Source organism: Homo sapiens, chromosome 3, assembly GCF_000001405.40.
Source record: "Homo sapiens chromosome 3, GRCh38.p14 Primary Assembly".
Classification (NCBI taxonomy): Eukaryota; Metazoa; Chordata; class Mammalia; order Primates; family Hominidae; genus Homo; species Homo sapiens.
The window spans coordinates 70,059,577-70,074,821 of record NC_000003.12 but is presented as its reverse complement, the minus strand read 5'-3'; the positions used below and the strand labels follow the sequence as shown (position 1 = coordinate 70,074,821).

Genomic DNA, 15,245 nt, shown 5'->3' with positions numbered 1-15,245 from the left:
AAGGCATGTGAGTAAATGGACCATTCCTGGAAGAGAGATGTTCAATGATGCTAAAGCCTAGGCTGGGATTGGAGGTGGGGGACATGCACACTATGTACAAACCAGAGAGGAGGCTATCTAAATTCTACATGTGATTATGTCACCTTCACCTTTTGTACATGGGGATGTAGTGTGAGCACTTCCAGAATCTAAAAGTGTTCACGAAGACTGATTTTTAAATGTCCTGATTAAGGACAAATTTATAACAATTTTAATTTTTGAATTAGTGCTATCAAATTATATAAATTTGTGCTTTAGCACTATCAAATTATATAAATACATATTCACACCTGCATAGGGTTTGTCTCTAATACAGTACAACTGATTTCACAAGAAACACACAAAAATCTATCACATTACTCTATATGGGTGCATTAAGAAATATGTCTCAATCACTCTTGAATCAAAGTAAGTATTAATAAATTTCCCTATCTCCTAAAGGGGCTCATTGAAATTTGGCTCAAGCTTTAATCCTAAAACTGTTCACAGGAAAAGACAACACAATTGTAAATAATATGGCTCTAGTATCTTATCTAAAAATTTATTTATTGAAAATGGTTTTTATATTTAACATTCAAAAACAACAGCTTTTGTGAATAGGCAAAACAAAACATAAGAATTACGTAATTCCAAAGCTAGTCATTGTTTTTGGAGAAAATTCTTTCAATTGATTAATATCATCATTCACTATTTTTTAGCTGTTGTATAATACAGACATTGCTTCTACAAAATAAAAAGAAAAATAATAATAGTAATAGTAATAATAATAATATGGTAGTAGCTAACGATTTTAGCATGATCACTACCTGCTAGAAAGGAAGCCAGAGACTTTACTTACAAGGTCACATCTAAAATTCCTATAAATTCCTAAAAGTACATATTTCTAGCCCTATTTTTAATAAAAGAAGACACAGATAATATCTTTTGAGTAAGAATACAGGCTAGTTGATGGCAGAGCCAGGATTCCAATCTGGGTCACACCCTTCCAAGTCTATGGCTGTAACCACTTATAATATGCTGCTCTTTCTAAATAATGTTAGACTGTTTCTCTTTTAAAAAATGAGTTTGGCTGAATTCTGTTTGGAAAATAAAGATCAAGAGGGAAAGAGAGGAACAAAGAGAGAGGGAAAGGGGAAAGAGAGAAAGAAAGGGAAGAGGAAAAGAGACGGTGAAGAGGAAAAAGAGGGAAGAAAAAAAGAGGGGGAAAAATCAACTAAACCAATAACCTTAGTTTTCTGGGTGTTCCTGTAACACTCTCTACTTCTCATTCTACACACTTCATACTCTTTTCCCTGGTCTAGCTCTGCGATAGATTGTAAGCTCCATGGGGGCAGGAACTATGTCTGTCTTGATCACAGCTGTACTTCTCTAGGGCCAGTAGAGAACCAGCACATAGTGGGCATTCCATAAATAAAATACAACAATATATTTTCTTTTTCTCCACGGCTTGAATATTTCATTTTTCATGTTGTCCTCTTCTATACATGGGCTCAAAAGAAATGTGCCAACACCTAAGACTATAAGGATAGAATAATTTTTTTATACTGTACCTGCACATCTGCAATCACAGATTATTTATGTCTATGTAGCACTGTCTTGCCGTTGCCATTAGTATGGGCCTCCTAAGTAAGGCCACTGGAGTCCCATGGTTCTGTCCTTATTTACCCATCTCTGACTGGATGCTAGGCAAACCTAAAACAAAGAGTAGGGTTCTTCCGCCTTCTAACTTTGTAAAATATAATTCTCTGTGAGACAATTTGAGGATAATGCTAGAACCAGAAATTTCACCAGCCTCAGCATTCCACAGAGGCCAAAGCTCACTTTAATCTTTTCTTTTAACCAAACATTTACAATGAGCCCAATTAAGAATGGCTTTCAATAGGACTATTGCCCTACTTCATACTGGTAATCAAGAAATGATAAGTTTCAATCTGTAAACATTTGCTCCATGTTCAAATTTGAAAAACTGCATATTTATTTCATAAATAAATTTACCTAAGTAGTTTAAATGTGTATCACGTATTTGGCCTTTCAATGCTAACTTTGTCATTTGTTTTGCTTGAGCTTCATCAAACACCTGTTTTGTACTGACACCCTTATAAAAAATTTTTTTCTGTTTTTTTTTTTTTTTTTTTTCCTTTGCTGTTCTATTTTCCCCCCTTTTCTCTTCTTTCCCAAGTCCTTTGCTTTGGGGGCTAAAACAGCAATTTTTATCTTTATTCTAAAATCCCCTCTTCTCTCCGTGGTCAGGAGGAGATTTTTTTTTCTTTGTGTTAAAATTATTCACAACTCACAGAATGAAGGGTGAGCACAAAATAAACTCCAGCTCACGGGGCGGGGGAAAAAAAGTGTTGTTTGAAGAGTAGGGCTTTGGAAAGTTCACTGAGCTCAGGACAAAATAAACAGAACTGGAACTAACTTGAGAGCAAGAATATTCTGAGCGAGAAGCCAAGCGGGTAGCCAGAGCAAAACAGAACGTCCCGAACGTCCATTCTGTTTTCATTTCAGGAATTAAGAATACCTTAGACTTCACTAATTGTTTTGATCTGAGTAGTCGATTTGGAGTTTCAGTAAACCCAGAAAAAACCTGGAACAACTTTGATGAGACGTAAAAATGCAAATAGTTTACTTAATATTTAAAAGAAAAAACGAGGAGCGGGTGGGAGGGAGGCAGGAAGAGAGAAAGGAGAAAGAAAGAGGAGAGAGTACCTTTGAAAGTTTTTAAAAATCAGTAAAATGTAATTTGTCCTGAATATTTTTGACACGAGTCACCCTTAATTGCCATTTCTGCAAGGTATCTCAATTACGAGAGTACAACGTGGCGGTCTAAATGCCTATACATTTGTCTGAAGAAGGAAAAAAAAAGCCACAACATTGTCTATTCAGTGTCAAAAAGCCTTTTCTTTAACTACAGAGGGCTTGGACAGAACTCAGGAAATACTTCAGCTGGAAAAGAAATGTTAAAAGCTACCCTTCAAGCTATTGGAAAACCTATTATCAAATGTTAAAACCTTTAAAAAAAAATCCATGAGTGTCCCCAGCATGATGACATATCTTTGTTTAGCAAAGGTTGATCATCATTGATAACCAAAGACAAAATAACAATGGATGCAATCTAACTGCTAATTAGGAATCGCGAGGCTTAAATTAAGAAACTCAGGGAGAACAGGTATCTGATTACGTATGTTCTCTCAATGCCGGCACCACATTTACTTACAGAAAATGCAATAGATGTTTCTCTTTATCACATCTCTAAGTCATAATGTCAGCATTTTAGACTCTGCTAGCTGTCACTGTGTGTAAGAACCTAAAAAGAAAAAAAGAAAAAAAAACCAGCATAACTTTCCTTCAGAAGAAAACACTGTGGAAAAATATACATAGTGTATACGCATATGCAGACAACCTTTCACTATTTCTTTCGGTTCATAGAACATAATGAGAATTAATTAGCACATTCCTAAATCATTAGCCCCAATTTCCTCTCTAATGTGTGCATCTACGCATAACTGAAGATTTTGTAAAGAAAGGAGACAGAAACCAGAAAGCTGGGGTCAGAGGCAGATGCACAGATGCACGTATAAATGGATGCACTGTGATTGTACCTCTTTGTGATGCATAATTACAAATGATTTTAATTCAACCCCTTCACTATGAGCTATCCCTTTTTTTTCCCTGTTCTAAATACGATACCTATAAGACCCCCAAATTCATTTCTTACAGATTTTAAAGATTTAAAAATTTCTCCAAAATGCCACATGTCAGTCAAAAAAGAAAATGATTGGCTTTTAAAATTATAATTTAAAGCACATTGACTAGAGGGTATGTTTTCATTAAAATTTAACCCCTTTTTAAGCTCAGACGTCTGGGGCTTTTAGGAACATACTAAAAATTTGGGTTTTTACCTCCATATCCTTCTTCCAAACAAGAGCTACAAAATAAAAAGCTCTGAATGGCAATAGACAGTTTCCCATGTTAATATAAGACGATGTCTTTCAATATACACCTCAATACAGTATTGCTCATACTCATTTGAGATACACAGAAATACATAGAAAAATCAAGAGCCTATCACTGCCATCTGTAAATGTTTAAAAATTAAATCTAACAAGTAAGCTTTAAGTAATAAATATATGGAAACCTTATTTTTCTTAATGGGATCAATTTATGTCCCCCAAGGGGATTTTTTTTTTTTAGCAACCTTTTTCTACTATGAATAATCATTCTTACACCATGGTAATATTCCATTAAAACATAAATTATTTTAAAAGAGTAAGATATTTGGCAAAGCAGCCCCTAAACATAACAATACCATACAACAAAATGATAGATTGTTCAAAACAATTTATTTTATTTTTTCTTTATGCCAGCTTAAAACAAATTACTTCTTGGTGGTTACACAAATCTATACAGGTGATAAAATGGAAAAGAACTATACAAAACAATAGAGTGCATCTAAAAACTAATGAAATCCCCATATGATCTGTGGTCTAATGAATAGTATTTTGTCAAAGTCTATTTCCCACTTTTGATATGTACTATGGTTATATAAAACGTTAACTTTGGAGGAAGCTGGGTGAAGGGCATACTATAACTCTCTTATTTTTACAACCTCTTATGAGCCTACAATTACTTCAAAATAAAAGATTTTTTAAGAATTACTTCTGTATGATTTTTATAAGTCTGAATTCCCAGACATTGTGTTGGATTTTCGCACTCCGAGGAATGGAATAGATTCTCACTAAAATTCAGATCTATAACTTATAGAGAGATTTCTGAAAGGTTCAAAAATACATCCTTCAATTGACTCAGATCAGAAGGAAGTCTGATATAAGCATTATCTTCAAAGTCCTTATCAAGACCATATTTCTAATCTTCTTATAATTTATTTGCCCTAATCTCTGTACCTTCCCGCAGCTCCAGGCAGAAATGCCTCTACATCTCACAGCAGTAAAGTTTAGTTGTCAAGAGCCTATATTCAAATTGCTGCTCTGACATTACCTACATGACCTTGGTCAAGTTGCTCCTTCTCAGAGCTCAGTTTGCTCATCTGTGAAATGGGGATAATTATAGTATCCCCTGCATAGGGTTGTCATGAGGACCGAGTGAGGTCATGAGTGTAAAGCCCTAAACACAATGCCGGGCGTCTGGCAAGCACTATGTGAGTATCCAGAACCACACAGGGCTTCCGGTAAATGCTTGTCCCTCTTCTTGTTAACTGTGTGATCTAACCTCTCTACAAGCTTCAGTTCCCTTGCCTGTAAAAGAGAATCATTGATGCAGTGTCTCTACTACAGTAAGTGTCCAGCACTGGACTGTTTCATGAGTGTTGCTCTTTTCACATTACAAATATTTGCTACAGCTCTCTGTTTTGCTGCACTATGAGATCTTAAAAGGTAGAAGTCAGGTATTATTCCATCTTTCTGTCTCTTGGCCAGTGTAGGCACAAAGTAGATGCTCCATAAGCATTTGTGAAATTGTCATTTTTAAAAAGCTACTGATTGAAAAGTGAAATATTAAAATAAGCCATTTGAACCACATCACAAAGGATCATAGGAATGAAAATGACATTATACTTTGGCGCTTTTGTTGCCCCAAATTTTTCTTTTTAGATGATGGTACTTTTAGGTTTTCAGATATTGAATTTGTGAAACTAACCCTCCAAGGAGTGAGCTCTGGGTTCCTAACCACAGTAGGCATCCCCGCAAAATCTTGAAAACCTAAGGACTAGAGCAACTAAGTGGGTGCAAGTTATGCCCATGAGACACCACAAATCAATGGGATGCCTCACCTGTCTTAATTAACATATTCCAATGTGCTTTGGGTTAAATAAATACTCTTGAACATTTAACAAATGCTCACAGTAATAACTTCGACTGCTACAGTTCTCTATCACACCATTTATTCCTGTGTTCTTTCTTCAGTATTATAAAGGGGCCTCTCCATAATCCTGAAGTCATTTAGAAGACTGGGATATTGTATTCAGGACATAGCTGGTTTTCTGTCAGAAGTACTTACTGACTGTGACTCGAGAAATCCTCATACAGATAAATCTAACACCACAATAATCCAATATTTTTTCTCCAAAACAAAGCCATTAGCATTTTATTAGAAGAAATATTTCATCCCTCGCTCTCTCTTTAAACATGCCACAGATGTAGCACTCTGTGTGGGTTGTTAGAAAGTCAAAGAATATAATTTCTTGATTAATTGCCATACACAGGATCCAAGTTATGTACAATTTTGGTAGTTAACCCCACCACCTCCCATAAGCGGTTACTGCTAAACCTTCCAAATAAGCACATTTATGATAAATCACTTGGAGCTGTTTAAGTGGATCAGGTCTTAAGCTATTCCTTGGGATAGATCATGTCATTTTCAATGTGCACGAACTACAGGAGAGAAATTCCACTGTAAACCTCTGCCGCGGTATCTTCGTTTCCCTTGCAGGCTTCAGGGAGTCTCAGTCAATATTTCTTATCTTATTTTTAAATATCTTGTGGTCTCAGAAATGGTTGGTGATTCAGAAATTACATCAGGAGTCTAAAGATAGACTACGGGCTCATGACTTCAATAAATGCAGCGGTTCTATAACAGGAAAAGAAAATGCTTGTTGGTTTTAAGACTATTGGGAATCAAAAGAGTTATTCTTAGTTTGGCCAGTTAGAGTCTATCTCTCCAAAAGCAAGTTACCTTCTCTTCTCAACCATCCATCTACATAACTGGGTGCATGAATATAAATCACAAGGCCTCCTAGATATTTATAAACTGCTGAATTCAGAGATATGGATACCTTTTTATAGACTCTACCCCCACCACTACAAATTGTTTTGTGAAACAGTTTCCATGTTGGTTATTTTAAAAATGGAATAACTGATTTGATTTGGAAATGACAGTAGCAAAAGCAGGGCAAAAAATCAGGTCTCCCATGTACATGGTAGATGCTCCTTTATGTCACCCTACCTCAATGAGTTATTCACCCCACATTACTATAAGGCAACCTCTGGCATGAAAATTCTTTGCAGGTGACATTGCAGGAGTTATGCTCCTCCTTTTCCAGTACAGGCACAGCTGCAGCTTATCTTATTTCAAACAGGATTAGTCCACCAATGCATAAATGACAAGAAACTGGCTCTTCTTGCCTTCTTGACCAATTCAGACTCTCAGACATCTTCCTCATTTCCCTGAAAGTTTATCTTCTTTTACAATGGAAATGTGTTTCCCTAAAAGTGAATGTATTTGGGTTTTATCCAGACAACCCTCCTTTCTTTAGTTCCAAGTGGGGGCGAGGTGGAGGGGTATATAAGAATTCTGGTACAAATGACAGTCAATGAATCATGAATTTCTAGTAAGAAAAAAACCAGTACCTATTGTTACCCTTTTCTTGAATCTCCCACCCATCTAATTATGGGTTAATATATTTTCACTTAAAATTTTAAAATTAAATTATTTGAATACACTTTTAGATTCATATTACTTAAATGTCCCATAGTAAACATGAACCACTTTTACAGTTAAAAGTGTTCTTTTAAAATAAATTTGATAAAATTCTATCTATCTTTTTCTTCTTTTAAAATGGAAAATACCGTAAGGAAATCTCTCCGATACCTGTGCCAAGTTTTGTTTGCCTTGGTTTTTTTGTTTGTTTGTTTGTTCAGTTCTGGTTTTGCTTTTAAGTTTCCCTGACCCTTCTAGATGGTCTTATTATTAGATTAGAATTCTTTCAACAATTGACTACTAAAAAGTGTTTTCCTGAATATATAGACTGAGAATGAAGGGGAAAAACATGAAGAAAAATGTCCTCTAAGTTTTCCTACACATATCCTATAATTTTCCAGTTGGCTTAGCCACTGAACATATTTAAATAACCAACCAACATATTTATTTAACATTCGGCAGATGGACATGATAGGAACATCATGATTTTCAGATGTACTTTTATAACTGCAAGGTTTTCTTCGTGCCAGGATCACAACAGGTTCTTAAGGTAAAGCCGCCCCTACCTGCTGTTTCTTCAATGTTGGAGCAACTCTCAACCTAAACATGTCCACTCAGATTAATTTAAATCCCTGACATTAAAGTGGAAATCAAATCATTCTCTTCAATCTATTTTTTACCAGCAGCATAAAAGAGACTATTTTACATGTTAATAGTAATCTGATGTGGTTGTATAAATCTGATATAAATATGATACTCTGTTTGGAAATGATGCTAATTTAGTTTAAAATGGAGATTACATTTCAACTTGTAAAAGAGCAGGATGGAATATTAGCATTCATGGCTGTTATATAATTTCCCTTTACACTACACAAGTGTTACTCAAAATCTTTTCTGAGACTCTTTGTCCAAAGATTTCCCATTCTTCCTATAAGAAAAAGGACTTCTCTATTTAACTATAAGTTAAACAGGTGGTACAGACCCTTGAAAAAAGATTAACAACAACATTATAAATGCATTTTTGAAGAAACATTTGAAGTTACAATGTAATAAACTGAACAGAATGTCATAAGAATGTCAAACTGGGCACTGTAAAAATAAATGTTATTCCCAAGGAAAATAAAAAGTCTGCATATTTATGTAACATTCAGCAGATGGACGTGATATTAATATAGGGTTTTCAGTTGTACTTTTATAGCTACTAGATTTTCTTGCCTAACTTGGCAACCCGAGGCACCATTTGAGTTTTGGATTTGGACAATACTGCAACAGATGTCCAGACCAATAAAATAAATTCCTTAAGGGCTATGCTTAATTTGTGTAATTGATCAATTTTGGTTACATAGGCCTCAGCTCACCAGCATGTAACTGCCTTCCACAAAAGCTTTGCAGTTGGGATTTCGTTCCATATGTTACAAGAGTTTATGGACTCTCTTTGATAATGCTGCAGATAGAAATGGGCCTGCGGTGACACCTGTTGGCAACCAGCGGTGAAAAATAACAAGGGATGGAGTGGGCAGTTCTGGGGCAGGGTTTCTGCACCTTGGCGCTATTAACATTTGGGGCCAATTTTTTATTGTGTGTGTGTTGTGGGGGTGGCTGTGCTGTGCATTGTAGGAGGTTTAGCAGGATCCCTGGCTTCTACCCACGAGATGCAAATAGCATCCTCCCCCAGATGTGACAACCAAAAATGTCTCTAGACGGTACCATATGTCCCACAGAGGACAACAGCCCCCCAGGGAGAACTCTTGCAGTAGAGTGGATACTTCTGAAAGAGGCACACATTGGAATGGCTTCAGATTTCTCACATTTTTTTTTCTAAAAAAAACAAAACACAAAGCACTTTTCTTTCTTTCTTGCCTTGAAGTCTCTCAATCTAATAATAGTTTTATGGACAACTCATGAAAACTTTGGCCCAACAGACTGTATCTGTAATAGGTGTGCTAGAGCCCCATCCTCGTCACTGCACGCAGGCGGGTGGTAATTAAGACATGGATTTCGAAGCCAAACTCTAAATGTTCATCACTCACCTATTAAAATTGCCAGAGTTGCTATGTTAATTATCTCCCCGTATCCTTGATTTAGCATAATACGGCCTGCAGCCTGTGACAGAAATTAAAGGAAAGACCAGTGACCTCTTTTGTGATTGTGCTAATAACTACATGATAATAAATTAGTTTTCAATTTTCAGAAGACTTTACATAGCAAAAAAAATAAAAAAATGGAACAAGTGTATGATACACAAACTTGATAAAAGATGGCTGATCAGCACCAACTTTGAGTCTTCTTCTTTAAATTAGTTTCCAACCAATGTAAACAGCACATCTGAAATCAAACTGCAGTATTATTTTTCTGGCTCAGTACATTACATTGCATTAAAGATAATAATAATGAGAAGATTATGTCAGTCTGCATTTTACGTTGGATATTTTAGCAATCAAATCCTATTTATATAACTTTTTCAGGGGTAGAGAAAACTTTGACATACACACTGTACACACGCCATGCATACACACACCACACACAAAAGATTTTTCCAGTAAGACATATTGACTTGAAGAATTCCTACTAATATCAGAATAAAAACATGAGAAGTAAAATGACTCATCCAATAGCAAAGACGCGCCATGACTTCTTGGCATGTTTTGTGCCTTCCTTACATCTGCTCCTGCCTCTAACAGCTTTCTTCCCTTGGCTGGCAAAACCCAAATAAGAATGTACAGGAAGCATGGCCCCACTCTGATGTACAATAATATTTAGCTAATTAGAAGAGTCCTCCAGCTCATTATGCTAGGCAGTAGGAAGGAAGAAACTACATGAAAGCATGACACTTGCTAAGCCCTAGGATGGTGTCAAAGCTGAACTGGCATCACTTTCTCCCATTTCTTTATAGACTTGGTCGGATTGCAATATTATTCCTTGAAAATCAGTTTTGACTTTGAGAGAGAAGGATCCCTTGAACACTGCACCATCTTCTGGCCAAACGCTTAACTACAAGTGCTTAATTAAAGTGTAAAGTCCCAGATTTCTGAGAATGACTGCCAAATTAGTACGTACTTGGTATATTTCATTATTCCTATTTTAAGACAGCACAATAGACAGAAACACAGGGCATTTTCCTTCTGATTAAATGACAAGGCACTGGAACTCTGTTTTAATACAGCTTTGTGCTTCATTCACAGTCTCAAATAATTTTTTATCCCACAGATATTTGTGGAAAGCCATGTATAGATCTGGCACTTAGAACTGGACCCACAGAAGGGTAAGACATGGTTCCAGCCCTCTGAGAGCTTACAACCTAGTCATATAATCATGAAATGTAAAGTGGATGTATTCTGAATAGCCCAGACAAGAAGTGCAATAGGAATTAGGAGGTGAGATCTGAGGACTGACCTTGTAGGAAAAGATTTACTGTAGACAGTGGCCCTTAAATTATGATGAAGAATGATGATGCTGATGCTAATGATACTTAAGATATGCCAGGCACTGTGCTAAGCCCTTTACAAATATTGCCTTCATTAAACAGCTGAATTTTGCTGATGGGTAACCCAGCAAGGGAGTGTAAAAGGTTAAGACTCAAGCTCCAGTTACCTGGACACCATAACTCATGCTCTGAACCACTCTCCTGTACTGTCTCCTGTGATAAGGATTTGATTCACAGAAAGGAGTTTCTGGGGGAAGGAAACAAAGTCAGCAAAGATGGAGACAGGGATATGCAGTGGCAGCTCTAGAATTTCTCTGTAGGAGGGACTTCAGATGAAAATCTGTTTGCGGGGGAAGGGCTGCTCAAAGATGTAATTCTTTGCAGCTATGTTTGCAGAGGAGGCACACGGATCCTACCTAAAAGAAGAGAAGCTGATGGGGATCTCAAGAAGGGCTAGCCTCCCAGAACACCTAGGGCTGCTGCCACTGGGAATATGTGCTGCATCTTCAAGCAAGAGCAAGGAATCCAATGGGGTTGGAGAGCTAAGCGGTTCAGAAGGCATCACAGGAAATGGGATTTGAAAAGCAGGCTGGAAAAAGACCAAAATATTCACAAAGTTGCAGGTGGGTCTAAAGATATATTTGGTGTAGAATAATGAACCTATTCAAATATTATACAAAAGTTAATCTGTTCTCAATGTGCAGGGTTGAGGGAAAAGGTACGAAGCAGTGAGATAAAAGGCTCTAGCATTAATCAAGATATTTGTCAAGAGAAAGAAAAGAAAGGGACCAATGTGAGAAGCATTTCAAGGAAAGTCAATGCGGCGGGGGTGGGGGGGGCTGGTGACAGAAGGAAGAGGGTCCCTGCAGACAAAGCAGGAGACAAAGAACTTCCCAAGTGCTTCAGTTTTGTAGTGAAGGGCAGAAGGGACACCAGGTGATGAAGTCAACATTTTCAAAAATAAAGGAAGATGTAAATTTTTGGAATACTGTATTTCTGAAGATATGGGCAACCCAAAATAGAATGTCCAATATGCAACTGATGCCAATACTAACTGCTCACTTTGGACTGAGCTCACGGCTGCAGGTACAGATGTGGAAGTCATTTACACCAAACTCAGAGATGAACACATGAGGACGACTGACTTTCAGAGGAGGCAAGAAATGGCAGAGCGAAACAGCCAGCCAGGCCTGAACGTTTTGGGACATTCCCCTTTGGAAAGGAGTGATGTGAGAAGCCAGAGAATGGGCAGAGAGGAGACATTAGAGGGAGGATAAAAGTCACAATGACAGAAGAGCAGTGCAATATCAAAGAGATTATGGTTATTGGTGACTGCTACAGAAAGATCATGAAGAGCATCTCAAAATGTTTGTGTCTGACAAATATGTACTGAGCATCCACTATGTGCCTGCTACTGTTCTGGGGCCTGAGGATAGAACAGTGAGCAAACCAGAGTCTGTCCTCAATGAGCTTACATTTTAAGGAGGAGAGGATAGAAAATGAGCAAATTAATATGTTAAATCAAACCACAAGAAATTGCCAGTATTTGTCCGGTTTTGACCTACAAAATGTGCATTCTCATGTGGTTCTACTTAATATAATGTCAGGTGGTGGCAGATGTTGTGAAGAAAATAAAACAGGGCAAGGAGAAAGAGCATGCCATGGGGAGAGGGGCCTTCTTAGACAGTGGGGTCAGGAGAGGCCTCCTTAACATGCCGATATTATTATTTGTATGGGCATGAATGAAGTGGGGAAACGGGCCATGCGGGTGTCTCAGCACCATGGGCAGAGGAAACAGTGGCACACAGACTATGGGGTTGCAATGTGCTTAGAGAGAAGAAAAAACCAACGCACTTGGCTGCTGGATGATCACTGTGGAGGGTTTGCCTGTAGAATGGTGAAGACTAAGGCCAGGGATCAAAAATACTGCAGAGAACGAATGGGAGTCTGGGGGTTCCAAAGACATAAGTGTAAGCAGCTGGTTTGTTTACACATAGAATCATTTATTCATTCAACAAAATGAATGAGTCAAAGGAAAAAAGAACTTGGGAGATGGCAGAATCAAGTGAAGCTGTTGCAAGTGACAAGAGACCTGTGCATATCTACAGCAAAAGAAAACCCTGAGAGGGTAACCAGAGATGCTGAAGGCATAAGGCACACTTGAGGAGACACAAGGGGAATGAATGTAGCCGTGGGTAGATGCGGAGGGAGCTAGCATCTGATACAGTCATAACCTAACCCAGGCGTTGCAAACGCAAATTTTAGGCAGGTAAAGTAAACTTGGGAGGTGGGCTGGCCAGGTGACATTTAACAGGGCATGGTGGGGATTGAGGCAAACTGGAGACATCATGCCCTGTGGAAAGTGGGCAGCCAAGCCTCAGCTCAGGCTTTGCCCATGCAGAAACGAGAACCCAGAATTGCCAGATGCTCTGATATTTCAAGACAAGCAGAAAAGATGGGTTTTTATATGCAGTCTCTCGATGTGTATGTTGTTACAAATCTTAAAGATTTTTTAAACATTACGCAGGCCAAACAAAACACATCTGTAGTCCAGATGGGGCCCACAGGTTGCCAATTTAGGACCTCTGGCTTAGAACAAAGATGTTAGCATGGTCCCTAGACTTGGTCATGGCTCTGAGCTCCTGACTCACAGTTGCATTCGCCTGCTAGGCAGTCCCAACTGGAGGTCCTGTCGGTATCTCAACCACAACACACGCAAACCCAAATTCATTTTTCTCCCCCAAATCCCTCTTCCTGCCTTGTCTATTACTCATGAATGGCAGCACCACTGCCAAAGCTACCACCTTTGGAATGGCCTTCCCTCTCCTCCTGAAGTCAGGATATACATCCTTTTATGCATGGATGTCTGCATCTTGGCATACATCCTTTTTCCTCCATTTTCATTGGCATCGTCTCCAGTTTAAGCTCTCACGACTTCCAATCTAAAATATCCAGATAATTTTCCACTCCCACTCACTCCCTCTTCCTCTCATCTTTTCTCCACTACTTAAGTACAGACTTCCACTGACCTACATCCATGACCCTCTACAGTATGGCCTGTCTAACCCATTATTCCCTTTCATATGTACATATTCTAAGCTTTGCTAATATGGACTGCTCAGATTCCCAAACTCAGTCCAAGTTTTTCTATGTCTAGATCAGGGTACTGAAGCACTATTGACATGTTGGGCCAGATCATTCTTTGCTGTGGGGACTGTCCTGTGCATTGTAGGATGTTTAACAGCATCCCTGGCCTCTGCCTACCAGATGCCAGTAGCATCTCCCCCCAAGTTGTGACAGCAAATAGGAGGTGATGGAAATAATAAGCCATCATAATATTTTCCCCAGGATAACCTTCAAATTAATTTGAAGCCTAAGTATCTATCAATAGATAGCAGAAAAGTTTGCTCAGAAATGGTGGAATGGCAGAGGAAAATAAAAATTGGTTCCTGACTAAAAGTTATTGTATATGAATTATAGTGCCTATGACCATAGTCAGTGCATCTTTTGACTTTTTCATATTTATTAGAGAAAATAGCACTTCCCCTGGGAGGTTTTGCCTCCCAGACTCTCCTGCTGGTCAAGTTCCCCTTCTCCAAGCTCTCACAGCACAGACTTTATAATAATTCCTTGTTTAACTGTTGGTTTCCCTCTAGGCCAAACACTCCATAAGGGAATGTATTCTGTCCTTGTCATAGCCACGTCCCCAGCAACTAGCACAGTGCCTGGCATGAAGTGGGCACTCAATATTCCAGCAATAAGTAAGTCTTGCACTAACAGAGTGATTCTCCTGCATCTAATTCTCAACAAATCCCAATTTTCTTCTTCCTTTAAGACATAGCTCAAGATCAACAATCTCCCTGAAGAGTCCTTCACTAACATCAACTGACAAAGGTCTTTCTTTTTTCATACATTCTACAGCACTTCATAGATTTTTGTTATCCATGATTCCTGTATATCAGATCTTTATCACCAATAACACTCAGGATCTTCAAGACAGTCTGTCTTCTTCAACTTTTTATTATTACCCTTAACAGTGAACATTTAGTACATGATTCTAAATATTTGTAAGACAAATGAATAAATGCTGGTGTCATTCACTAAAACAGCTAGAAAGTCCCCCATAGCCAATTTAACTTGCCAACTGGGGGGGTTAATTTTATGTGTCAAGTTGACTGGGCTAAGGGATGCTCAGATAGCTGGTAAAATATTATTTCTGGTGTGTCTGTGAGTGTGTTTCCAGATGAGATTAGCATTTGAATCAGACTGTCCTCACCAATGTGGACAGACTCATCCAATCCACTGAGGGCCTGAATAGAACAAAAGGATAAATTTGCTCTCTCTTTTC

The 15,245-nt window shown here is 38.1% G+C and overlaps 1 long non-coding RNA gene across 20 annotated transcripts in view; it reads right to left on the bottom strand.

The window, feature by feature from the left end:
* Window positions 1–15,245, bottom strand: part of SAMMSON (survival associated mitochondrial melanoma specific oncogenic non-coding RNA) — a 435,002-nt gene that overhangs the window by 359,768 nt on the left and 59,989 nt on the right. For 13 of the 20 annotated variants that reach the window (NR_186029.1, NR_186026.1, NR_186027.1 and 10 more), the window contains one exon: window positions 3,257–3,346. This is a non-coding gene — a long non-coding RNA (survival associated mitochondrial melanoma specific oncogenic non-coding RNA). Of the gene's footprint in view, window positions 1–1,520; window positions 3,347–4,362; window positions 6,625–9,503; window positions 9,577–15,245 lie in introns of those variants that run through there. The other 7 variants (NR_186014.1, NR_186012.1, NR_186023.1 and 4 more) reach the window with 6 other exon arrangements.